General features: G+C 40.5%; 1 long non-coding RNA gene across 3 annotated transcripts in view; it reads right to left on the bottom strand.

Annotated features, from left to right (window-relative positions):
- The window catches only part of ELOVL2-AS1 (ELOVL2 antisense RNA 1), a 35,387-nt gene that overhangs the window by 4,496 nt on the left and 3,641 nt on the right, over positions 1 to 27,250 (bottom strand). For 2 of the 3 annotated variants that reach the window (NR_038963.1, NR_038962.1), the window contains exon 2: positions 26,650 to 26,740. This is a non-coding gene — a long non-coding RNA (ELOVL2 antisense RNA 1). Of the gene's footprint in view, positions 1 to 1,103; positions 1,195 to 25,429; positions 25,541 to 26,649; positions 26,741 to 27,250 lie in introns of all 3 variants that reach the window. The other variant, NR_038964.1, reaches the window with a different exon arrangement.

The raw sequence follows: 27,250 nt of genomic DNA, 5'->3' as shown, positions 1-27,250 counted from the left end.
AAAGACAAATGAATGCTTTAGGAATCTAAATGCAATACAGTCTTATGACATTTTGCCAATGAATTGTGATTTTTTTTTAAAAAAGATGAAAGCTGAAAAGGTCATCCAGTTCCAGTTTTGCAAACTGCAGGCTGCCATTCACTTGTGAAAAGCATTTTAAAAAATAGATTGCAGGCTAGGTGCAGTGGCTCACACCTGTAATCCCAGCACTTTGGGAGGCCGAGGCAGGTGAATCACCTGAGATCAGGAGTTTGAGACCAGCCTGACCAACATGGAGAAACCCCATCTCTACTAAAAATACAAAGTAAGCCAGGCATGGTGGCACATGCCTGTAATCCCAGCTACTTGGAAGGCTGAGGTGGGAGAATTGCTTGAACCTGGGAGGTGGAGGTTGCAGTGAGCCGAGATTGCACTATTGCACTCCAGCCTGGGCAATAAGAGCGAAACTCCAGCTCAAAAAAAAAAAAAGGATTGTATAGAATGAATGTTATCAGAGTACATATTGATATTGTTTTATTTGTGACACTTTTATTTGTGTGCAAGATCATAACCTAAAATATGTTTCTCACTGTGGGTCACAAACAAAAACTTTGATATCTACTGATCTAGCCCACATTCATCTTCCAATAAGAGAGATGAGGACTGAATCTTCACTCAACAATGGCTTGTCCACTGGATTTTAAGCGCATCCGTAAAAATTCAATCCTCACACTTATCACTTACTTTGAAAGTTTTTATTGCCTTAGAGAAAATTCTGGGTTATATTTCATATAAAATTCTGGGTTATATTTAATACTGTTACTTACCTTTTTAATTCATTGCCTTGAAATGTCCTATTTTGTTATCACCTGAAACTATATAGTTTAAACTATAAGTGATTTATGGGTGAATACTTCCAAAAGGTAGAAAGTTTTTCAAGCAAAACAACTGCAACAGAATTAAAAAGGATTACCAGAAATCATCCAGTCCCTTGCTATTCAAAGTGTGGGCCACAGACTGGCAGAATCGGCACCACCTGAAGCAGAAACTCAGGTTGCACTCCACGCCTACTCAGTCAGAATCCGTGTTTTCACAAGATCCCCAGCTCATAGTTATGCACTGACCTCAGCTTTGTCCTCCTTACAAGTCAGGACTTTTGGTATCAGCAGGGGGAATAATGTTCATCAACTTAGATTTCATAGAACTTCCCCCAAACTAGAAAATGGCAAAAGAGAATAGTGAGTACACATTATATCTTGTCTTACATTTTGAGAGATATTCATATGTGTGTATCTATCTCTCTATATGTAGATATACACATATGTATACACACACACCAACTAGTTTATCTGTTCATGCCTATTTCATATCTGTTTTTCCAGTCCTTAGTGCAAATGTGTAAGAAAAACAGAAGTTGTCTGAAGCAAGCCTTCAGCTTTAGATCAACATGTGTATTAGTTCATTTTCTTTTTTTTTTTTTTTTTTTGAGTCTCGCTCTGTCACCCAGGCTGGAGGGCAGTGGCGTGATCTCGGCTTACTGCAAGCTCTGCCTCCCGGGTTCACACCATTCTCCCACCTCAGCCTCCCAAGTAGCTGGGACTACAGGCACCCGCCACCACGCCCGGCTAATTTTGTTTTTGTATTTTAAGTAGAGATGGGGTTTCACCCTGTTAGCCAGGCTGGTCTCAGCTAGTCTCAGTCTCCTGACCTTGTGATCCGCCCGCCTCGGCCTCCCAAAGTGCTGGGATTACAGGCGTGAGCCACGGCGCCCAGCCTATTAGTTCGTTTTCATGCAGCTTATAAAGACATACCTGAGACTGGGCAATTTACAAAAGAAAGAGGTTTAATGGACTCACAGTTCCACACGGCTGAAGAGGCCTCACAATCATGGTGGAAGGTGAAAGGTGCATCTCACATGGTGGCAGACAAGGAAGAGGGCTTGTGCAGGAAGATTCCCCTTTATAAAACCATCAGATCCTGGCTAGGCATGGTGGCTCATGCCTGTAAGCCCAGCACTTTGGGAGGCTGAGGTGGGAGGATCATTCGAGGTCAGGAGTTCGACACCGGCCTGGCTAACATGGTGAAACCCTATTTCTACTAAAAATACAAAAAATTAGCCAGGCACGGTGGCATGTGTCTGTAATCACAGCTACTCAGGAATCTGAAGCAGGAGAATTGCTTGAACCCGAGGCGGAGGTTGCAGTGAGCCGAGGTTGTGCCACTGCACTCCAGTTGGGGAACAAGAGCCAAGCTTCATCTCAAAAAAAAAGAAAAAAAAAAAAACCATCAGCTCTTGTGAGCCTTATTCACTATCATGAGAATAGTAAGGGAAAGACCCACCCCTGTGATTCAATTACCTCCCACCAGGTCCTTCCCACAACATGTGGAAATTGCGGGAGCTACAATTCAAGATGAGATTTGGGTGGGAACACAGCCAAACCATGTCAGCATGGTTATTTATATGGTCATCCTCTGGTCACCTCACTTACTACTCACACTTTTCACCTATTTGCCTACCCACTCCAACTCACCTCCCTATTCCTTCCCACCTCCCTTCCCTTTCTCTGTCTACTTTCTAGTGTTTTCTCTCTCAACCCAAGCAAAGCATTAACTTCTTGCCCATTCCGTTCTTAGAAGTGTGCCTCTACATGTATTTGTGTGTATGAATGTATCCTTATTAATTTGGAACTATGAGAGATCTAATGAAATTTATAGTGTAATGAAATGTAATGATAAATTTCACTTCAAAGTGCACTACTGAGTTCAAAGCAATGATCTAGGAAATACCGGGGATGGGGGGAGGCCGGAGGGAGGAAAGAAGACATTATCCCTTTTATATTTTTTACAATCTCATGGTGCAGAGAAGTATGAGATGTCTTATGTAGAAATGCAGATGCTATGTTATGGAAGTATAGAAGAAGTAGAAGCAGAATTCATGTTGAGTGGGGATGAAAAAAGAGAAAGCTTCCCAAAGGATGTGGTCTTGCATTGGTATTTTAAGAATAAATGGCATTTCCAGCTGGGTACAGTGTCTCACACCTGTAATCCCAGCACTTTGGGAGGCCGAGGCTAGTGGATCACTTGAGGTCAGGAGTTCAAGACCAGCCTGGCCAACATGGTGAAACCCTGTCTCTAATAAAAATACAAAAATCAGCTGGGCCTGGTGGTGGGTGCCTGTAATCCCAGCTACTCGGGAGGCTGAGGCAGGAGAATCGCTTGAGCCTGGGAGGTGGAGGTTGAAGTGAACTGAGACCATGCCACTGCACTCCAGTCTGGGCAACGGAGTGAGACTCTGTATCAAAAATAATAATAATAATAAATAAATAAATGGCATTTCCATAGATGGAGAAAGGAGAAGTGAGAAAAAGAAAAGGCATTTCAAGTGAGCATGGTACACGTTCTCAGGAAACAATCAGTATCACAGAGCACGTGAGGATGAAATTGAAGAAACAGACAGAGCCCACTTAGAGAAACTTACATGTCATGCTTGGGCACTAGGTTCAATTGTAGAGTAAAGGGAACCCAGTCTTATTATATCCAACCAGTTATTTCTTCTCCCAAACACAGCAAGAGCAATTTTGTTTTGAAATGCAGAGCTGAGAATGTACTGCCTATCCCATCTACCCTGCCTTCCATCGGCCTTTTTTTTACCAGCTCCCACTTTCTAAAGTAAAATAGCAACACTCCCCCTGATCTCCTTACTATGGAATCTTCCTTGTCTTTCACTTATCCTTTCTGGATGCAGAGTGGTGCACCTGCTGCTTTCTGTGTGTGCAATGCTCCTCCTCCACCAGCCTACCCCTCTCTTCAGCTGGTTAGCACCGTCCACCAAGTTCAGGTCATCTCAGCCCAAATATTGCTTTCTAACTTAGCTGGCTAAATTAGGTTAACATATTCATATAATTAAGATATTCACATAGAGTACCCTTTCAAAACACATATCACAGTTCATAATTTTTTTTAAATTATTTTTTGTGACAGGGTCTCCCTCTGTTGCCCAAGCTGGAGTGCAGTGATGCAATCTCAGCTCACTGCAACCTCCGCCTCCCAGGTTCAAGCAATTCTTGTCCCTCAGCCTCCGGAGTAGCTGGAATTACAGGCACATGCCATCACACTCAGCTAATTTTTGTATTTTTAGAAGAGACGGGTTTCACCATGTTGGTCAGGTTGGTCTCAAACTCCTGACCTCAAGTGATCCACACCTGCCTCCCAGCCTCCCAAAGTGCTGGGATTATAGGGTGTGAGCCACCGTGCCCGGCCTACAGTTCATAATTAAATACTTACTAACCTCTTCATTTGGTGAAAGTCTGTTCTCCAATAAGACCATAAACTCCCTAAAGACAGAGATATTTTATGGTTTGGATGTCTCCTCCAAAAGTCACATTGAAATTTAATTGCCACCGTAACAGTATTAAGAGGTGGGACCTTTAAGAGGTGATAGAGGCTCTGCCCTCATAAATAGATTAATGCCATTCCCTTGGGAGTGGGTTAGGAGTGAGTTCCAGATAAAATGAGTTCGACCCCCTTTCCTCTGCTCTCTCATGGTCTCTTGCCCTTCCAGCTTCCACTGTGGGTGACACAGCAAGAAAGCGCTTATCAGATGATCAGCCCCTTGACCTTAAACTCCCTAGCCTCCAGAGCCATAAAAAATACATTTCTTTTCCTTATCAATGACCCAAACTGTGGTATTCAGTTATAGGAGCATAAAACAGACTAAGATAGGAGATAATGTGTTTAGCTTAAAATGGGATTCCCACCACTTAACACTTTGTCTGTCACATGGTTTGCTGAATGAATGAGTAGGAATGACATAATTTGGACTGAGATTTGGCAGATGAATCAGAAGAGACTGGAGGCTATAAGTGTGCTTGCTCACAAGAATATATGGTGGGGAGGCTGTGTTGAAGAAAGGCATAGTATTACAAATTTCTTATTTCTTTTTTTTTTTTTTTTAGAGATGGAATCTCACTCTGTCGCCCTCAGGCTGGAGTGCAGTGGCAAGATCTTGGCTCACTGCAAGCTCCGCCTCCCAAGTTCACGCCATTCTCCTGCCTCAGCCTCCCAAGTAGCTGGGATTACAGGTGCCTGCCACCATGCCCGGCTAATTTTTGTATTTTTAGTAGAGAAAGGGTTTCACTGTGTTAGCCAGGATGGTCTCGATCTCCTGACCTCGTGATCCGCCTGCCTTGGCCTCCCAAAGTGCTGGGATTACAGGCGTGAGCCACCGCGTCTGGCCTACAAATTTCTCATTTTCATTAAGCCCATTTCTACTTTTTCCATGTGTAAACTATACACACATTAATGACTATATGTGCATGTATATGTCTTTCTAGGGGATCTGCAGGAGACAAATACCACTGGTGCATGGATAGTTTGTCAGAAGGCCATTTGCTTAAAGGAGAGGCTTCTTTTAGTACAGATTTTAAATAACATTCTCCAAATCCTATATTTAAGACACAAGTCAGAATGATCACATTGGCATAAATCACCTGCATTTATCAGAAGTGTATATAGTTTCTCCAGCAGAGGGTGCTAAAATATAAATTTGACACAGTGAAGCTCAGCATAAATTTATTCAATAGATTTGTCAGCTCAGTCTTTATTGTCAGGTTCTTGTAGCAAATCTAACCAAAAAGGGCCAGTCTTGTAGATTATGAGCATGGGAAGTCTTAGAACCAAAGTTTTACAAATGTGAAATTTTTAGTATTAAATCTTAAATACGAGGGCAATTTCCTCCAAGTTAGCTTGCTATAATACTTTGTAAAACTTTTAGTTAATGTTTTTTGGGGAAAGAACTTGTTACAAGGGGCTATATTATGTGTTATATACATAATATTTATATATTATGATTATAATGTAAGTCATCAAAGGACTGGAAAATAAGCCTTTTTAGAAAGATGGGCAAAATTATCATTAGTCCCTCCAATTTGTAGAGGGTGAGCGTTTTATCACACTCATCAAGACAAAATCCTTTCTCAAGTTATAGAGGCTCATTTTAATCCTCAGAAGCCTTTTTAAAAACCCTATATTTCAGTCAAATGAGGCTAGGTAATGCTGCAGTAACATTCCACCTCAAAGTTTCAGTCACTTAAAACATCCAGGGTTGATTTCCACCTTGTGCTGCATATCTATCACAGAGTTGGCTGGGGGATCTACCAGGTGAATCAGACCGAAGGAGCAGCCGTCACCCCAAAAGTCACCAGTTACTGTGGCAAAGGGACAGCAAAGCACAGGCAATCATGCGTTGGCTCCCAAAGTTTGTCTGGAGGTGGCATCCACTTCCTTCACTCACACTGTCTTAACTATACAGTAAATCACATGCCCACATCTAACTTCTAGAGTTCAGGAAATATACTACTATTGTGAATTTGGAGGAAAACCAGAAATATTTAATGGACAGCACTAAGAACTATTACATGTTATAAATGTGATAAGAAGAAAATAAAACATGTAAGTGTAAACATTAAAAAAATCTCATTGGAAATAATATAGCAACATTGATTTATACGTTATCCTTATATCTTTGAAGTGAGGGCCTGTAGGCTTATTATTAACTCAACTTTCATCCTTAGTCACAAGAGTTGCTAGCACGGATAATGAAAATACTTTGCTTTTGAATTCATTACTACATACTGTTTGGAGGGGAGGAGTGGGTAGTCGATTTACTCCTCTACTTAGGTTTGTCTTTGATTAATGTTAAACCTGCTTGACTTTCCTGAGAACATAACTGCAAGATGTGCGAGGAGGCAGGTGGGAGACACTAGGCTTGGGAAAAGGTCAGGCAGCCTGAGCTTCTGCTGCTGACAGGTGACAAAACAGAAATGAAAACCTTGCTGCTTAGCACGCCCTTTTTGCTTAGCCTCGTAAAGCCAGAGAAGCAGGTTTTTCTAATAAAGATGTAAAATGAAGTAAGTAGTCCCTCCAAGTACTAGAAAGGAGAGCCTTGCTTCTTAGCACACCCAAAAGGAATCTCAGATGGATCTGCCACTAAGCACAGAGTTTGGTCACCTTGTGCAGTGATAGCTGCTCACTGCTCACCAAGAACAATGCAGGGTTGCAGTCAGGTTGTAATCAGAGAGGCACAAAACAGGTTATCTTGGGAACCGAGGCTTTCCTGCCAAGATAGACCTGGCAAGCTGCCTGACCTAAACAGATAATGGCAGTTAATACAGGTGGACAACATGACCTTAACATCAGCACTCCAACCTGGATCCTGCCTGGAAAGGCAGTGAAGGCAGGGTCAGAGTTTAGTTCCTATCTGTCTGTGTCGCAAGTTGCTGAGCTGGGGAGAAAGCTTTAATGAATGCTTTGTGCATTTCCACGTAGTCAATTGGGAGAAAGAGAAGCCCCAAAGGAACTTCATTAGAATGTGGTATCACACTTTAATACTCATCATCTTCAATCCTCATCCACCTACACTTTGCTAATATCCTTCTCATCATTCAAGGGCCTTGCAGCTCCCACATTCTCCAAAATGCCTTCCCTAGACCCCCAAATTAGAATGACCTTTCTGCCTCCATCACTTTCTGTCTACAGCTCTACTACAGACTCCCGACAGCCCACTTTTTATTCAATCTGCTTTTGTATCTGTCTGTCTCCCGCCACCAACCTTTGGCCTGTGAGCATCTGGAAGGCAGAGATCAAACATCATTTATCTATGGATTTTGCTCAGCTCCTACCCAGTTCCATGTACACAGAAAGTTTGTTGATTTAGATTGACCACATGGCCATTTTATGACAGCATTCAATTTTTTTTTTGTTAACCTAGGAAAAATTTCAAACACCCATGAAAGTACTGAGAATAACATAGCACTCACTCAGCATGGCATTAACTTCTAATACGTTTACTCAGGCAGCGGAGCCTAGAGGTTGAGAACATGAACTCTGGAGTCAGAATGACGTGGTTCAGCTCTGTTTCTTATTACTTCACCTCTGGAAGTCTCAAATGGGAGAGTTTTTCTATCTGTAAAATTGGGCTGAGGGTTATTACACAGATTAACTGAGATAATATATGCAAAGCACTATGAGTGCTTGGTTCATAAAAAGGCCTCAAAAGGCAGCTACTATTAGTATCACATGTATTACCATAAACTCTTGAGACTGAGCTTACGGTCCATACAAAAAGGGACCATATATCCAAGCACAGTAATCACAAAAGTTGAAAATTATACGGATTAAAAACTATCTGATGAGAAAAAAAGAAGCTAAAGATCAAAAGAAAATTAAGAGACATATCAATCAATTACAATTATAGGCCCTTATATAGATCCTGTTTCAAATTAAGTAAACACTGACTTTATTTGATGTTATTGGGAATTACTGTTAACTTTTAAAGGTGTAATAATGGTATTGTGGTTATGGCTTTTAAAAGCAAGGGTCCTTACTTTTGAAAGATACAGCACATCCTGATATGTTTACAGATAAAAATATGGCATATGGGATTTGCTTTGGAATAATATAGGAAATACAGTATTTCCTATTTTTAAATAATACAGGAAATAACTGGGGGGTTTAGATAAATCTAAGTTAATTGTTGAGTTGGTGTCTTAGTTCAGGCTGCTATAACAAAATACCACAAATTGAGTGGGTTACAAACAACACAAATTTACTTCTCATAGTCCTGGAGACTGGGAAGTCCAAGATCAAGCATCTTCAGATTCTGTGTCTGGTGAGAGCCCATTTCCAAGTTCACAGATGGCACCTTTTAGCTGAGTTCTCACATGGCAAAAGGAGTGAGCTTAGCTCTGTCGGGTCTCTTTATAAGGACACGAATCCCAATCATGAGGGCAGAGCCCTTATTATCTAATCACCTCCCAAAGGCTCCACCCTCCATGGCAGTTAGAACTTCAGCACGTGAATTGTGGGGGAATACCTTTCTGAATATATTGTTGTGGGTCCGTTTGCCTATGGGAAGCAGTCTCTGAAATGGAGAACATTTACTGGGGAGTGCTCTTGGGATCAATGTCTGTGAGGGAGTGAGGAAGCAGGACTGGCCAGTGGGGGCGGGACTCATTTCGTCCTATGGGGTGCTCCAGAAGTGGCATAGGGAGCTGGGCCTTTCTACCCTCACATGACCAGTCACCAGATAAGAGCATAACCAGGATAAAAGAGGTGGTGTAACTTCCATCAAGGCAGCAAGGCTCTCCTTTGGCCTAGGACAAGTCCAGAAACACACTTAGCTATCTGAAGTCAAGACTGCAGCAACTGGCAAAATAAGTAGCTGAATAATGATGAATATTAGTAGCAAAAGACTTTACTTATTCAAACTGAAGTACAATAATTACATTTTAAATATCCTTAATAAAGATTGCCTGACAGCAGATATTTTATTTTTGTATGTATTTCGGGAAGTCATCTTTCTTTCCATTACTCTATCTCAGTTACTAGCTTGAGGGAAAACATCATTCTATAAAACAAGTGCAAGTGACTGAGCCACGGATGCACATGCTTCCTTAGGTTGACAAATAGCTTTCTCTTGAAACCTTCTTTGAGAAAAAGCTAGAGGAAGTAAATAAAAACATTGAAAATTCCTGGATAGCCACCTTAATGAACACATTATCTCAGCCAGTTTTGTTTTCTCCTAAGGCTGACTGGCAGGCTTCTGATTCTATCGCACAAGGGAGTCTCTTCTTGCTAATCCCAGAAACAATGCCGGGGCCATCTGTGTGCATCACCAGCTACAGGCTTGCAGCCAAAGAGGAGTGATTTAGTTCCCACTGAGGATGAAGCAGCATTTACTCTCTTTTGCCACAATATACAATACCATTTGAAATTTGAATGAAGAACAAATATTAAAAAAAAAAGGAAGGAGGAAAGATTTTGTTTTCACTGAATAAAAATGCTACTAGATCCTGAATATCTGAAGTCTTGGTGAGATTACCTGAACAGAAGTTGTAAGCTGTATTTCATGAAACTCTGCTAGTTGAATGTACATAGAGAAATTATTATTGCTAGTCCATACCATCAGCTAGTGGAGACTTATGAATCTCTCTTTTTTTTTTTTTTTTTTTCTGAGACAGAATCTCACTCTATTGCCCAGGCTGGAGTGCAACAGTGCAATCTCGGCTCACTGAAACCTCCATCTCTCAGGTTCAAGCAATTCTCCCGCCTAGCCTCCCAAGTGACTGGGATTATAGGCATAGGCCACCATGCCCAGCTAATTTTTGTATTTTTAGTAGAGGGGTTTCACCATGTTGGCCAGGTTGGTCTTGAACTCCTGACCTCAGGTGATCCACCCACCTCGGCCTCCCAAAGTGCTGGGATTACAGGCATGAGCCATCACGCCCAGCCCCCACTCCTTTTTTTTTGCGAGGGTCTCTGCGCTGTTGCCCAGGCTAGAGTGCAATGGTGCAGTCTTGGCTCACTACAACCTCTTCCTCCTGGGTTTAAGCAATTCTCCTGCCTCAGCCTCCCAAGTAGCTGGGATTATAGGCACGCGCCACCATACCTGGCTAATTTTTGTATGTTTAGTAGAGATGGTGTTTCACTATGTTGGCCAGGCTGGTCTCAAACTCCTGACCTCAAGTGATCCGCCCGCCTTGGCCTCCCAAAGCGCTGGGATTATAGGCGTGGGCCACCGCGCCTGGCCAGATACCTAAGAATCTTGATTTACCAGTGAGTACAAGAGCTAGCCCCACATCATTCCAAGTTTTTCACTTTTACCCAAAGGCATATCGAAAGATGGGGGAGCAGTTCAACCTGGGTGCAGGCCAAGGGGGTTCCTTGTTCATAAACAATATTTTTTAACTGCACTAAACATTTGTCTGGCTTTTCTTGCCACTATGTTAATAGGATCAGGAATCTGGGCAGCGATCAGCTGAGTGGTTCTTCTGCTTTGTGTGATATCAGCTAAGGTCGTTCCTGCAACTGAATTTAGTGGGTAGCTGGACTGGGATGGAAGGTCCAAGAAGGTTTCCCTCACATCTCTCATCTGGTGTTCCTTCATGTAGCGTTTCTCTCTTCATAGTGTATCTTACAACTCAGTAACTATGCTTGAGCTTCTTTACATTAAGGTGGCTGGCCTCCTCAAGAAAAAGCAAAAGCTGCCAGGACTCTTAAAGGCTAGACTCAGAACTTAACTTGCATGTAGTTACTTCTACCACAATCAATGGTCACAGCAAGTCACAAGATCAGCCCAAGTTTAAGGGGAATGAAAGTAGATTTTACCTCTTGATGTGCTTGCAGGGAGAAAGGGAATTAATGGCATTCATCTCTAGAGACTTATTTATCTCAAGTAAAATATTTGAAATCTCATGTAAACATGAGACAAACAAAAACTGAGAGAATTCATTACCTGAGACCTGTACTACAAAAAATAGTCAAGGAAATTCTACAGAGGAATATGATGCTAGGCAGAGAGTTGCATCTATGCAAAGAAATGCAGATCTCTAGAAATGGCTAAGCTGAAAGTAAAATCTCAAAAAAAAATTGTTTTAAGTTGTTCTAAAGATAACTTATTATCTGAAGCAAAAATAAGAGTAATGAATTATATAGTATTATGGCACATAAAAAGTAAAATGCATGCCAACAATACCACAAAAGGTAGAACTGGAGAATTGGGAATATACTGTGGTAAATTTTTTATGCCATATGAGAAGCCATATAACACTATTTGAAGGTAGACTGAGATTAAAGATGAAGGCAACTTAAGTATATAGAAGACCAAATATCACAAACAAGCGTGACTTAGCTGACACTGGGTGAAACCAACATTCCACCCAATAACAGCAGAATACACATTCTTTTCAAGCACACACAGAACATTGTTCTGTTGTTTTCTGATAATGTCTTTGTCTGATTTCGGTATTGAGATAAAGCTGGCCTCAGTAATGAGTTGGATAGTCCTCCCTCCTCTTCTATTTTCTGGAGGAGTTTATGTAGAATTCATGTTATTTCTTCTTTAAAAAAATTTAGCAGTACATATATTTGAAATCATATGAGCCAGAAGTTTCTTTCTTAGAAAAATGTAAAATATGAATTCAACTTCTTTAATAGACATAGAACCATTCAAGTCATTTATTTTTTTTTGAGTGAGCTTTGGTAATTTGTGTCTTTCAAATAGTTTGTCCATTTTATTGTCAAATTTGTTGGCATAAATTTGTTTATCCTATTCCCTTATTGTCCTTTAAGTGTCTGTAGCATCTCAAGTAATGTCTTTTCTTTCATTTTTAATACAGACACACTATATTTTATTGCACAAAGAGATACCTGGGAAACCCCCAAATCTTTAGAAATGAAAAGACACACTTCTAAATAACACATGGGTCAAAGAGGAAATCAGAGAAAATAGAAAATATCTTGAATTAAATAAAAATGAAATAAAAACATGTCAAAATGTGTGAAATGTAGCTAAAATAATGCTTAGAGGAAAATTTAATCAACGAAATTTACCAAATCCACAAACTAAATAAGAAAAAAAGTGTATGATTACCTTACTAGACCACAGTAAAGGCATTTGACCAAATTTAACATCCATATATAACAATAAAAAAAATTATCGGCAAACTAGAAAAAGAAGAGAATTTCTTCTTTTTTTTTTTTTCCGAGATGGAGTTTCGCTCTTTTTACCCAGGCTGGGGTGCAATGGTGTGATCTCAACTCACTGCAACCTCTGCCTCCTGGGTTCAAAACGACTCTCCTGCCTCAGCCTCCCAAGTAGCTGAGATTACAGGCGCCCACCACCACACCCAGCTAATTTTTTTATATTTTTAGTAGAGATGAGGTTTCATGTTGGCCAGGCTGGCCTCAAACTCGTGACCTCCGGTGATCCACCCACCTCAGGCTCCCAAAGTGCTGGGATTACAGGTGTGAGCCACCATGCCCAGCCAAAGAAGGGAACTTCTTTGACCTGCTAAAGGATGTCTACAAAACAAACACAACCCTACAACCATCATCATAATGACTGGTGAAAGGCAAAGCTTTCTGCCTAAGATGAGGAACAACCACTGGATGTCTGCTCTCACTATTCCTATTCAACATCGTATTGGAGGCCCAAGTCAGCTGAATGAGTTAGGAAAAGTAAAAAAAGGCATACATATGGGAAAGGAAAAACAACCGTCTCTATTCACAGATGACCTGATTGTTTATGTAGAAAATCTCCAAGTATCTACCAAAAAGCTTCTGGAACGAATAAGTAAGTTTAGCAATATCACAAGGTAGAATGTCAATATATAAAAATTCATTGTAATTCTATGTGTAGCAACAACCACACATTGAAATTTTAAAAATATCATTTACAATAGCATCAAAAAACATGAAATACTTAGGTAGAAATTTAACGAAATCTATGGAAGATATGCCTAGAATTACAAAACAGTGCTGAAAGAAGTCTAAGAAGATTTAAACAATGGATAAATACACCAGTATGTAGATTGGAAAACTCAATGTTGTGAAGATGTCACTTCTTCCTAAGTTGTCCTACAGATTTAACACAATCTCAGCCACACTTTCTCTAGGATTTTTTGTGGAATGTTGACACGTTGATTCTAAAATGTATATGGGAAAGCAAAGAAGTTGGAATACCCAAAACAGTTTTGAAAAACTGGAAAATTTACAAAACTTGATTTTAAGACTTACTATAAAGAAACAGTAATCAAGACAATGTGGTATTGGTGAAAAGGTAGACACATAGATCAATGGAACAGAATAGAAAGTCTAGAGATAGACCCATACATATATGGTCAACTAATTTTTGACAAAGATACAAAGGCAATTAAAAAATAATAGACTTGCTGAGGCAGGTGGGTCACCTGAGGTCAGGTGTTCAAGATTAGCCTGGCCAAAATGGCAAAACCCCGTCTCTACTGAAAATACAAAAATTAGCCCGGCATGGTGGTGCATGCCTGTAATCCCAGCTACTCCGGAGGCTGAGGCAGGAGAATCACTTGAACCCAGGAGGCAGAGGTTGCAGTGAGCCGAGATTGCACCATTGCACTCCATCCTGAGCAACATAGCAAGATTCTGTCTCAAAGAAAAAAATTAGTTTTTCAACAAATGGTACTATAACAATTGAATACTTGTATACAAAAGAAAAAAAAAAAAGAACTTTGACCCATCCCTTACACCATATACAAAAATTAACTGAAAATGAATCATATAGATGTAAATGTAATACCTAATGCTACAAAATTTCTAGAAGAAAATACACGAATAAAATCTTTGTGACCTTGGGAAGCAAATATTTCTTGTATACAACACAGAAAGCACAATTCATTTAAAAAAAACCAGCTTGAACTATATCAAAACTAAGAACTTTTCTTTGAAAGGCTTTGTTAAGAGAAAGAAAAAACAGGCCATAGACTAGAAGAAAATATTTGTAACATGCATATCTGATAAAGGACTTGTATCCAGAGTATATGAAGAACTCTCAAACCTCAATAAGAAAGAAAATAATAACAAATGGGCCAAAAATTTGAAGAGATTCTTTGCTGAAGAAGACACACACTAGTGGCAAATACTACACACATGAAACGAGCTCAAAAATACCTGTTGAATAAATGAATTAATGAATGAGTTTTGGTCTTGCCAAAGGTACCCCACTACTTGATTAACTCTTTAGAATTCATTTTGATGATTAGTAATTAGAGCAAGTGAAAATTATTCCATTACAAATATACATAGTAAAGTCAGATAAAAAATAAGTTATATGGACTTCTATCTTATGTTCCTTCCTTCTAGTAGGGCAAGTAATTTTTTTTTTTTTTTTTTTTTTGAGATGGAGTCTTGCGCTGTCACCCAGACTGGAGTGCAGTGGCGCGATCTCGGCTCACTGCAAGCTCCGCCTCCCTCGTTCACGTCATTCTCCTGCTTCAGCCTCCCAAGTAGCTGGGACTACAGGCGCCCGCCACTACGCCCGGCTAATTTTTGTGTATTTTTAGTAGAGACGGGGTTTCCCCGTGTTAGCCAGGACGGTCTCGATCTCCTGACCTCGTGATCCGCCTGTCTCGGCCTCCCAAAGTGCCGGGATTACAGACATGAGCCACCGGGCCCGGCCCATGGGCAAGTAATTTTTTTAAAGTTATCTGCATTAAGATAAACACAAGAAGGCCAGGCGCGGTTGCTCACACCTGTAATCCCAGCACTTTGGGAGGCCGAGGCGGACGGATCACGAGGTCAGGAGATGGAGACCTTCCTGCCTAACACGGTGAAACCCAGGCTCTACTAAAAATACAAAAACAAAATTAGCTGGGCGTGGTGGCGGGTGCCTGCAGTCCCAGCTACTTGGGAGGCTGAGGCAGGAGAATGGCGTGAACCCGGGAGGCGGAGCTTGCAGCGAGCCCAGATCCCACCACTGCACTCCAGCCTGGGCGACAGAGCGAGACGCTGTCTCAAAAAAAAAAAAAAAAAAAAAAAAGATAAACACAAGAAGATATGCCACAGGACTTCACAGGACTTCTTACGGTATTTCTTTTTTTCTTTTTTTTTTGAGACAAAGTCTTGCTCTGTTGCCTAGGCTGGAGTGCAGTGGCATGATCTCGGCTCACTGCAACCTCCACCTCCCAGGTTCAAGCGAGTCTCCCGCCTCAGCCTCCCGAGTAGCTGGGACTATAGGCGCGCCACCACGCCAGGCTAATTTTTGTATTTTTAGTTGAAATAGGGTTTCACCATGTTGTCCAGGATGGTCTCGATCTCCTGACCTTGTGTTCCGCCCTCCTCGGCCTCCCAAAGTGCTGGGATTACAGGCATGAGCCACTAAGCCCGGCCTCTTATGGTATTTCTAAATATAAAATGATACTATAGTGCAAAGTTCAATGGAGTCAAACAATTTAGTAACGGTCAATTTGATGTGGTCCCTGTCCTAAGCTTTCTGAAGACCTGGCTTAATGCAGGGATGGACTTAGCCTATGTAGATAAGATTACAAAAATGACAAGTCCCCATTAAAATATTCCTCTCTCAGACTTGGTGGATACTCAGTATCAGTGAGTTCAAGATAATTCTAACAGACAAATACTCAGAATATAGATGGATATCTATTAATGACCTTAATAAGGAAATGTGTCTGAGATTATTACTCAAATACCACAACTTGGCTACAGAATGAGTTTGTGCTTTGTTTCAATGCTAAGAGTTAATTTCCTTGGTTCTCTTTCTCAACACTAAGTTGGGTGCAGTGACTCATGCCCATAATTCCAGCTACTCAGGAGGTAGTACTGAATTTGTGGAAAGTATTAAAAGTTGCTCTCGGCTGGGCACAGTGGCTCACGCTTGTAATCCCAGTACTTTGGGAGGCCGAGGTGGGTGGATCACGAGGTCAGGAGATCGATACCATCCTGGCTAACATGGTGAAACCCCATCTCTACAAAAAATTAGCTGGGCGTGGTGGCGGGCACCTATGGTCCCAGCCACTCGGGAGACTGAGGCAGGAGAATGGCGTGAACCCAGGAGGCGGAGCTTGCAGTGAGACAAGATCGCGCCACTGCACTCCAGCCCAGGCGACAGAGCGAGACTCTGTCTCAAAAAAAAATTTTAAAAAGTTGCTCTTACATTTATTTTTCTTGAAGATTGATGATATTTAGAGCCCTTTGAGATTATGTACTTGGTCTCCATTGTGTCATATTTTAAATTTTAATTTTCAGCCTATCTTCTGGCAGAGTAAGAATCTTGAATAGTCTCATTAAAACATGGATTGGGTTTTCTTTCCATTTATTTATTTTTTCTTTTTCCTAAAGTGGAATAAAGGGTATTGTATTGACCTGTTCCCCAGCCAGTTCCAAAGGCTATCGGTTTGCTTTAAAGTGTTTCTGGCTGGGCACAGTGACTCTCACCTGTAATCCCAGCACTTTGGGAGGTCGAGGCGGGTGGATCATCTGAGGTCAGGAGTTCAAGAACATCCTGGTCAACATGGCGAAACCCCATCTCTACTAACAATACTAAAAGGCCGGGCGCGGTGGCTCATGCCTGTAATCCCAGCACTTTGAGAGGCCGAGGCGGGTGGATCACGAGGTCAGGAGATTGAGACCATCCTGGCTAACACGGTGAAACCCCGTCTCTACTAAAAATACAAAAAAATCAGCTGGACGTGGTGGCAGGTGCCTGTAGTCCCAGCTACTCGGGAGGCTGAGGCAGGAGAATGGCGTGAACCCGGGAGGTGGAGCTTGCAGTGAGCAGAGATCTGCCCACTGCACTCCAGCCCGGGTGACAGAGCAAGACTCTGTCTCAATAAATAAATAAATAAATAAATAAATAAATAAATAAATAAATAAATATAAAAATACTAAAAATTAGCTGGGTGTGGTGGGGGGGCACCTGTAATTCCAGCTACTTGGGAGGCTGAGGCAGGAAAATTGCTTGAACCTGGGAGACGGAGGTTGCAGTGAGCCGAGATCGTGCCATTGCACTCCAGCCTGGGCGACAGGGCAAGACTGTGTCTCAAATAAATAAATAAATAAAAAATAAAGTGTTTAAGAAATTCAGAGGTCGTCAGATCTTTGCATTTATAAGCATGTTCTGAGTACTGTTATGAGACAGCATGCTAAAGTTCCAAGATATAGTCTGGTTGATAGTCTATTTGTCTGGATGAGAAAACTATGTGTAACCACCAGCAGAAGTTCCCTTAGCAAGGTCCAAAGTTATGCAAAACTTGCTAGAGGCTGGAGGCAGGATGAGAGTTGTGGGAGCAGGGTGAGTCCAAAGTTGTATGGTAAAAGAGGCCATCCTCCAAATGTGAGGTCTTTAATCACATCTATGCATCCAAATTCAGGAATTTAGTGACTTCAGCTCACTGGAAATGATGGACTACAAATTGTTGCACCATGATGTCTAGCTATTGGTGCATTGCCTTTTATTTTACTATAATTAATTAATTTATGTTTAGAGTCAGGGCCTTGTTCTGGTGCCCAGGCTGGAGTGCAGTGGCAGAATCACAGCTCACAACAGCCTCGAACTCCTGGGCTCAAGCCACTCCCTGGTTGCCCACTGCCTCACACCCTCCTGAATAGCTGGGATTACAGGCATGAGCCACTGCATCCAGCTTGGTGCACTGCCTTTTAAAGCTGCAGATATTAATGTAAAAGAGCAGGTGAGCAAAGACTCAACTGGAAGTATCACCAAGCTTCATTCAATTTCACTACAGGAAGAATGATCAGGATAGGTACATATGAATTGAAGTGTGTGTCCTTTTAGGGACAAAAAATAGAGAAAAATGCAAATAAGCTAAATTTTCTTTCATTGGTAATACTTGGCCCCATTCTTACTAGCTAACCTTATCTTAGGCTCCAACATATGTAAGTTTCCTGGATATTAATTCCCAGCTCACTGAATTGTCGCTATTACTGGAATTCAACAGACCCTGTGGGTACTGGTCAGGCAGCAGTTTCTTCACTGCTAGTACCATGTTCAGTGTCACTATCAGAAACATGGAGAAAATATTAGAACCTACAAAACACAAGGTCCAAAGCAGCCACTGTGCTTAACAAATGTGATCGTTGTTTTTATTTTTGTGTTATTTAAATGTGTTTTATATATGTGTTGTATCTCTGTAATAGCTAGAACTGTGTGTCCAAAGTTTTTTGCAAACATCTTTTTTTTTTTTTTTTTTTTGAGATGGAGTCTCACTCCATCACCCAGGCTCGAGTACAGTGGCAAGATCTTGACTCACCACAACCTCTGCCTCCTGGGTTCAAGCGATTCTCCTGCCTCAGCCTCCCGAGTAGCAGGGATTACAGGTGCCTGCCACCACGCCTACCTAATTTTTGTATTTTTAGTAGAGACGGGGTTTCACCATGTTGGCCAGACTGGTCTCGAACTCCTGACCTCTGGTGATCTGCCCGCCTTGGCCTCCCAAAGTGCTGGGATTACAGATGTGAGTCACCGCGCCCAGCCTGCAAACATCTTATAACGGTGCAGGTCTCAAAAGGGTAATGACCACATTTGTTTCACAATATTGTTTATATAAATATATTATTAAATTGGCATTTAATCAGGGACTATATTTCCATTATCTAATAAAATAATATACTTTTCAAAGAGCTTTGAATCGGATAAAATTCTCTTTAGAATGTCATAGAAACCTCAGGTGGCATGGGGTAAATAACAAAAGGCCAGTTTGTCTCAAATATTTACCAAATGTCTACTGTGTGACAGAAACTAAAAAGGCAGTCAAAATTAACATTATAAGTAAAATACTGAACTAAGCTGAAGTACTGATGGAATTAATTGTAAATTTAACAGAATTAGTTAGGGATTGGACATAGACTATATTTTGTCCCAAGATTACTGTTACATGTACTTTTCCATCCAATTAGTTCAATGAGGTCACCAAACAAGATTTTAGACAAATTCTTCATGACTCACTCTCCTGAACTCTGACCTATCCCCTTGAAAACGATCAATCATGTTAAAGCCTTCTGTTAATTTTTTCCTTTTCAGAGTTTATATAAATAAAACGAATTCTTTGAAAGAGCCACTCTATTTTCAGGTAGAACATAAATGATATAAAAAACAAGTTGGGCAACAATGGTTAACATGGCATTATTGATCTTGGCAGTTAGCACGAGTATTTCTAAATGCTGTTTATTCTTCGCCTATCTCATATCTAAATTTTGAACTTGTTCTCTGCATTTTTATATTGTTTAATGAACCAGCTCTTTATTTTACAATTGGCATTTATCCTGCCTTTCCTATACAAACTATACCCCTTAGGTAACCAAAGAGTATATAGGGGATATTTTTCTTTAAAGTATTCTAGCTAATAAATGAAAAAGGAATGTAGAGCTAGAATACCACAGTTTTTTTCAGCCCCTAATGAATCACTGGATGTAGTACTGAGCATGCCTAAATATAGAAAGAGTGGACAATCAGATATTTTGTGCTTCCTGATAGAAAAGCACACCACACATGTATGGTATTTTTGCCAAAAAAATTCTCACCTGAATCTGATCAAACCTCTAGAGCCAGTTACCGATTTACAAACATACAGAATGCAGAGCACTTGTTAAGCTATGGCATTCCCATTGCAGGGATGCCATCAACAAAATCCAGACTATTGGAAATTCTACGGTACAAACAAATTACGAGAAAAAGAGATGAACAGATGTAGATATTAAAGGAGACTTAAAAGACACATCAAGCAACTGCAGTGTTAAAAAGAAAGACATAAACCTAATTGGAGAGCTGTATACTTATTTTATTTTTGTTTTGAGATGGAGTCTTGCTCTGTCGCCCAGGCTGGAGTGCAGTGGTGCCATCTTGGCTCACTGCAACCTCTGCCTCCCAGGTTCAAGCAATTCTCCTGTCTCAGCCTCCTGAGTAGCTGGGATTACAGGTGCCCAATACCACGCCCATTTAATTTTTGTATTTTTAGTAGAGATGGGGTTTCCCCATGTTAGACAGACTGGTCTCAAACTCCTGACCTCAGGTGATCCACCCAACTCGGCCTCCCAAAGTGCTGGGATTATTGGCATGAGCCACCGCACCTGGCCTACACTTATTATCTCTAAAGACATTAAGAAATCGGATTTTTAAGGTATTATAATGGTATTGTGATTGTGTTTTTTAAAAAAATCCTTGTCTTTAGAGATACATACTAAATTATTTATGGATAAATTATTATATCTGAGGTTTGCTTCAAAGTAATAGATGGAGGGAAAATAGGTAGGATATAGATGAAGCAAGATGGGTCATGAGTTGATAATTTTGAGGTAGATGATGAATGCATTGGGATTCATTATTATTCTGTCTTCTTTTGTATATGTTTGAAATGTTCTATAATTGAGAAAAATAAGTAAAATCACTGGAAGGCTCACACCTTATCTGCTCTTTAGACTTTAATACTAATAGCTGAAGGAAGACCAGTGACATACACTTGTATTTTCACTACTTGGGCAAACAATGCAGAAGAATTTCCCTTTCACTGTAACTGCAAAATTAACCTACAGATCTCTGAAGGCTGTCTTTAAGCCACTATGACAATCTTAATGAGCATAACATTTTGCTTCAACCCTACTCTTCTACCAATGCTGTAAAGCTCTCCTAGAGTCACGGTGGACCCATGTCATATAAGTGACTGACCCTCAATAAGTGAATAAATGACCTGAAGAAAGTGAATTTATCTGACAATTCTATAAAGATTCTTAAAGATAGGATTATTCAAAACAGCATGGTGTCCTGGAAAGAGTCCAACAGGCCTCAGGTTGAATCCTGGCTCTCCTACTTTCCAACTGCCTAACCATGTGACCCTGTGTACACTACTGAACGTCTCTGAGCCTGAGGTCCCTCACCTCTACAACGGGGCTAGTCACAGGACTATTGTGAGGATTAAATGAGCTACGTTGCAAGTTACCTAGCATAATTTTGGGCTTCTATTGGATACCCAATAGCTACCCGTAAATATCACATTTGAGCTTACAGAATGATGAAGTTATAAGCTGAGACTGCCTGCTGTGACTTCTGCACTAATTATAGGATGCCTTTAGTCAAAGCTTGTTCGACCCACAGCCCATGGGCCACATGCAGCCCAGGATGGCTTTGAATGTAAACTTTCCTAAAACATTATGGGATTATTTTGTGATTTTTTTTTTTTTTTAGCTCATCAGCTATCATTAGCGTTAGTATATTTTATGTATGGCCCAAGACCAATGTGGTCCACAGAAGTCAAAAGATTGGACACCCTGCTTTAGTCTCTGTTTCCTAGACATTGAAGAACTTGCTCAGGTTGTAACAATGCACATAATTGAGACCTGTACTCTTGAGTATCACTGAGACTCCTCATCTCTATTTCTTCTACAAGGTTAATCGACCAATTTACTAGAAAGATAAAATGTTAACTACATTGAGACTGTTCTTATTTTGTATCCTCATTTAATACCAATTAGGACAAATATAATAATGCATTAGCTATGTTTAAATAAGACTATATTTTCTGCTATTTTATTAGCCTGATGACTTCTTTTTTTTTTTTTTTTTTTGAGACGGAATTTCGCTCTTGTCGCCCAGACTGGAGTGCAATGGTGCGATCTCAGCTCACTGCAACCTCCCCCTCCTGGGTTCAAGCGATTCTCGTGCCTCAGCCTCCCGAGTAGCTGGGATTACAGGCACACACCACCACGCCCAGCTAATTTTTTTGTATTTTTAGTAGAGAAGGTGTTTCACCATGTTGGCCAGGCTGGTCTCAAACTCGTGATCTCGAGTGATCCACCCGCCTCAGCCTCCCAAAGTGCTGGGATTACAGGCATGAGCTACTGTGCCTGGCCACCTGATGACTTCTTAATACATTTAAATTCCTTGCTTTAGGGTGAAGTTGACAAAATTTTTGAGTAGATTATTTGTTGGCATACAGGGTTTTCATATTGAAGGCTTTTGTTCTTGATGACAATAGAAAGAAAATGCAGGACCAGTCAGTCTAAGGTGAAGCAAAGTCAAGGGAAGAGTCTACTAAATTTTGTGCATCCATGTAAATTTTATCACCAACTACATTCACAATAACATCTTCAATAATTTACAATAATGAAAAGAATTTGTGGTAGCACGAACTTGTAATCCTGGCTCCGCAGGATGCTAAGGCAGGAGGATCCCTTGAGCGCAGGAGTTCAGGACTCCATCTGGGCAACATAAGGAGATCCCATCTTGGCCAGGTGTGGTGGCTCACGCCTGTAATCCCAGCACTTTGGGAGGCCGAGGCAGGCAGATCCCTTGAGGCCGGGAGTTTGAGACCAGCCTGGCCAACATGGTGAAACCCCGTCTCTTCTAAAATACAAAAATTAGCCAGGCATGGTGGCATGCACCTGTAATCCTAGTATTTGGGAGGCTGAGGCAGGAGAATCACTTGAACACAGGAGGGAGAGGTTGCAGTGAGCTGAGATCGCACCACTGCACTCCAAGCTGAGCGACACAGCAAGACTCTGGATCAAAAAAAAAAAAAAAAAAGGAGATTCCCATCTCTAAAAAAAAAACCAACTTTACAATAATGTTGTAAAAATCATTTGTTACAGATCAGCCCAACTACAGGCCAAAAAATCATAGACTTCAAAATGATTAATTATGAGTTGCTAGTCTAGTCTCTTATTTACATTACTCTAATTCTAGCAGAAGAGGATGTGTGGCTTCACACTGCCACACCCCCCCACACTCACACTCACACAATCACACAATGGGGAATGGAAAGGGGGAGTCCATGCAGTGTGCCCTCCTTGAGACCTAAATGGTTGCATTTTTATCAGCATTTTCTCTCCTTCTTCAGTTGAATTCTAGGCTTCAAGTTTGCTGTAGAGTAGGTTTGCAACAAAAATAGGCTGGAGGACTACTGTGTGGGGTTAATCTTGGAGGGGTACACCTGGGAAAGGAACAGCCACTCTGTGGTATGGATTGGGATGGCTATCGCAGGTCATGCCGAGGGACTGCCTTCCTTGTGAAGTACACTATCCCACTTTATGCCCGTGCTACTTGCCATGAATACATTTTAAAAAAAAATTTAAAAAGAAATCAACAAAGACAATTTAAGTAAAATAGCATCTGTGAAAGACAAAATGGTAAAGTGCAAGAATGCGTAAATAAGATCAGTTAAGTGAGCATAACAAAAAGATGAAAGATAAAGTCCAATGGCTACAAGGGTACAAAGTAATGGCCCCCATTAGATTTTTTAAACTAGGATAACTGCAGCTGACCAGTAAACATCACATAAAAATGTTCTGCCAGGACCCGGATTCCTTAGGACTGAGGTCCTCAAAGGCATAGCAACAGAGCAGGGACCAGTGGCCATGGTGTCAACAAACACATGGATCTCTATCTATAGGATTTGGTCTGCATCCTCACTACAATCCCTGATGATTCACACTTTCCAGACACACTGGCTAACTTCCTGTTCCTCAAAGAAGCCTGATTTTTCTGTCTCGAAGTGTTTCCATTTGCTATCTTCTCCTGGAAGGATTTCCCCTAGATCTTCTCATGGCTTCATGGCTGGCTTGTTTTCATCAATGGATCTCAATTTAGATATTATGTGCTTAGAGGGGCCTTTCCTGACCATCCTATTTAGAGTGTTCTCCCCAAGGAAAGGACACCTACTTCAATAAAGGGTGCAGGAGAAACTGGATAACCATATGTCAGAGAATGAAACTGGACTCCTACCTCTCACCATGTACAAAAATTAACCAAGATGGATTAAAGACCTAAGTGTAAGACCTGAAACTTCAAAAATCCTAGAAGAAAACCTGGGAAAAAACTCTTTTAAAAGACACTGGCCTAGGCAAATAATTTATGACCAAGTCCTCAAAAGCAAACACAACAAAAACAAAAAATAGACAAATGGGACTTAATTAAACTAAAAGGCTTCTGCACTGCAAAAGAAATAACCAACAGATTAAACAGACAACCTACAAAATAGAAAAACAATTTGCAAACTATGCATCTGACAAAGGGCAAATATATAGAATCTACAAGGAAATCAAATAGCTCAAGAAGAAAAAACCAAATAATCCCATTTTAAAATGGACAGAAAATATGAACAGACTTTTTTTTTTTTTTTTGAGACAGAGTCTCACACTGCCACCCAGGCTGAAGTGCAATGGTGCAATCTCAGCTCACTGCAACCTCTACCTTCCAGGTTCACGTGATTTTCTTGCCTCAGCCTCCCAAGTAGCTAGGATTACAGGTGCACACCACAACACCCGGCTAATTTTTTGTCTTTTTAGTACAGACAGGGTTTCACTATGTTGGCCAGACTGGTCTCAAACTCCTGACCTCGTGATCCGCCCGCCTTGGCCTCCCAAAGTGCTGGGATCACAGGCATGAGCCACTACGCCCAGCCAACATTTTTCAAAAGAAGACATACGAGTGGCCACCAAACATGAAAAATGCCCAATATCACTAATCATCAGAGAAATGCATTTTAAAACCACAATGAGACATCATCTTACACCAGTCAGAATGGCCATTATTAAAAAGTCAAAAAACAACAGATTGGCAAAGATGTAGAGAAGGAAATGCTTATACATTGTTGGCGGGAATGTAAATTAGTACAGCCTTTATGGAAAACAGTATGGAGATTTCTCAAAGAACTAAAAATAGAACTACTATTTGATCCCTTAATCCCACTACTGGGTATATACCCAAAGGGAAAGAAATAATTATATCAAAAAGATACCTGCACTTGTATGTTCATCATAGCACTAATCATAATAGCAAAGATATGGGATCAACCTAAGTGTCCATCAATGGAGGACTAGATTAAGAAAATGTGTACACATACATGCACATACATACACACACCGTGGAATACCAGTCAGTCATAGAGAATGAAATCATGTGATTTGCGGCAACGTGGATGGCACTGGTGACTTTAACAGGTTGAAAAATTAGGAGGGTTGAAAAATTACCTATCAGGTAGTATACTATTTAGTGATGGGTACACTAAAAGCCCAGACTTCACCAATATGCGATATATGCATATAAGAAATCACACACCAAAATCTGTCGGGGTTGGGGGGTGATGGAAGGGAGAACATTAGAACAAATACCTACCTAATGCATGCGGGGCTTAAAATCTAGATGACGGGTTGAAGGGGCAGCAAACCACCATGGCACACGTATGCCTATTAACAAACCTGCACATTCTGCACATGTATCCCAGAACTTAAAGTAAAATAAAAAATTATAATAATAATTAAAAAAGAAATCTGTACTTGTATGCATTAAATATATAAAAATTAAAATACATAAAAAACTTAAAAAGCAAAAACCTAGAAAAATAAAGTGCTACCCCCAAGTCACTCTATCATCATACTGTTTCTTCATGACATTTCTCTATCTAGACTTATTGTCTTCTTCCTCTCGTTGAAATATGAGCTTCATAAAACAAGGGAAGTCACCTATATTGTTCCATACCATATTAATATCATCCAAGTTCTACAGAAATTGGCACTTTTTCTTGTAAAGGGCCAAATAGTAGCTATGTGGGGACTTGCAGACCATACAGTTGTGTCACAACTCTGCTGTCCTAACATGAGAGCACCCACAGACAATACGTAAACATAAGGACACAGTGGTATTCTAATACAAACTTTATTTACAAAAGCAGGCAACTGGCTGGATTTGTCCTGCCACTGTAGTTTGCCATCCTCTGCTCTAGAATGTTATACTAGAATATAGTACTCAGCATAATATTTTCAAATGAATTAACATAAACTTTATTTTAAACCTGGATTGATACAAGGTCATGATTGTCTCCTTGTTACTACATCCAATCAAATGACCAATATATACATATATTGCTTTGTCATAAATCCTTAGTCCTAACATATCGAGTGAAAGCTGCACTAAATTTGATGGAGGGAACTCAGTTTTTTCAATGTGCCTTCACTTGGGCTTAATCTTTACTCTTTATCTTACTATTTTTCATTTCTAAACTCATATAGGTGCAGAGCTTTCTTAACACAAAGCAGAGCCCATGGCCAAGGAAAGGACGTGATTTCCAGAGTCTGTTTCTACTACTACCCTAAAAGTACAAATACTTTGAAGAAATGTAGTAAACTGATTTAAAGTCATAATACATTGTAAGTGAGTATTTTTCTCAAGATAAAACACAAAGATGCTAGGTATATCAAAAGAAGGGATGCTTCAGAAGAGAACCACACTAAAAGGAGATTAAACTCCCCCCAAAACAAAGCTTGCCTACTTCATAATTTTGATGAGGGCTGGCAGACTAGCACTGCAGAGGCAGTAGAGACAATGAGAATACTCACCCAGGATTCAGGAGATCCAGGCTTTAGCACTGTCATCTATTAATCGGTCTTCTCTAACTCCTCTGAGACACACTTTCTGAACCTATAAAATCTACGATATGTGACAGAGGGAGAGAAAGAGCATCAGTCAGATCTCTATTTTTAGGTTTAAGATTCTTAGATTATGCTAATCATCACTTTATATAGCACCACATCCATGTAAGTACCTAACACACAATTAGTCTATGTTATTGTACACATGCTCAATATGGGCTTGCCGTACAGCTAAGAAACAGAGTCCAGCTTTTGTGTAATCCATACAAGAGAACAACGAAAGTAAATATTATAAAATCATGTAAGTGATGGCATGTTAAATTTTCCATTAAGTGGGAATTCATGTTATACCCAGTTAAGACCCTCTCCCAGTTATATCTGGTTAAGATATGTTTCCAGTCCTGTGTTTATACAGGTAGAACCACTTCCTTTTTTAAAAAAATTAATTAATTTATTTATTTTTGAGATGGAGTCTTGCCCTGTCACCCAGGCTGGAGTGCAATGGCGCTATCTCGGCTCACTGCAAGCTCCGCCTCCTGGGTTCAAACAATTCTCTTGCCTCAGCCTC

The sequence above is a fragment of the Homo sapiens genome, chromosome 6 (genome assembly GCF_000001405.40).
Source record: "Homo sapiens chromosome 6, GRCh38.p14 Primary Assembly".
NCBI classification, from domain to species: Eukaryota; Metazoa; Chordata; class Mammalia; order Primates; family Hominidae; genus Homo; species Homo sapiens.
Note: the sequence above shows the minus strand (reverse complement) of the source record. Positions and strands in the feature narration are given on the sequence as shown.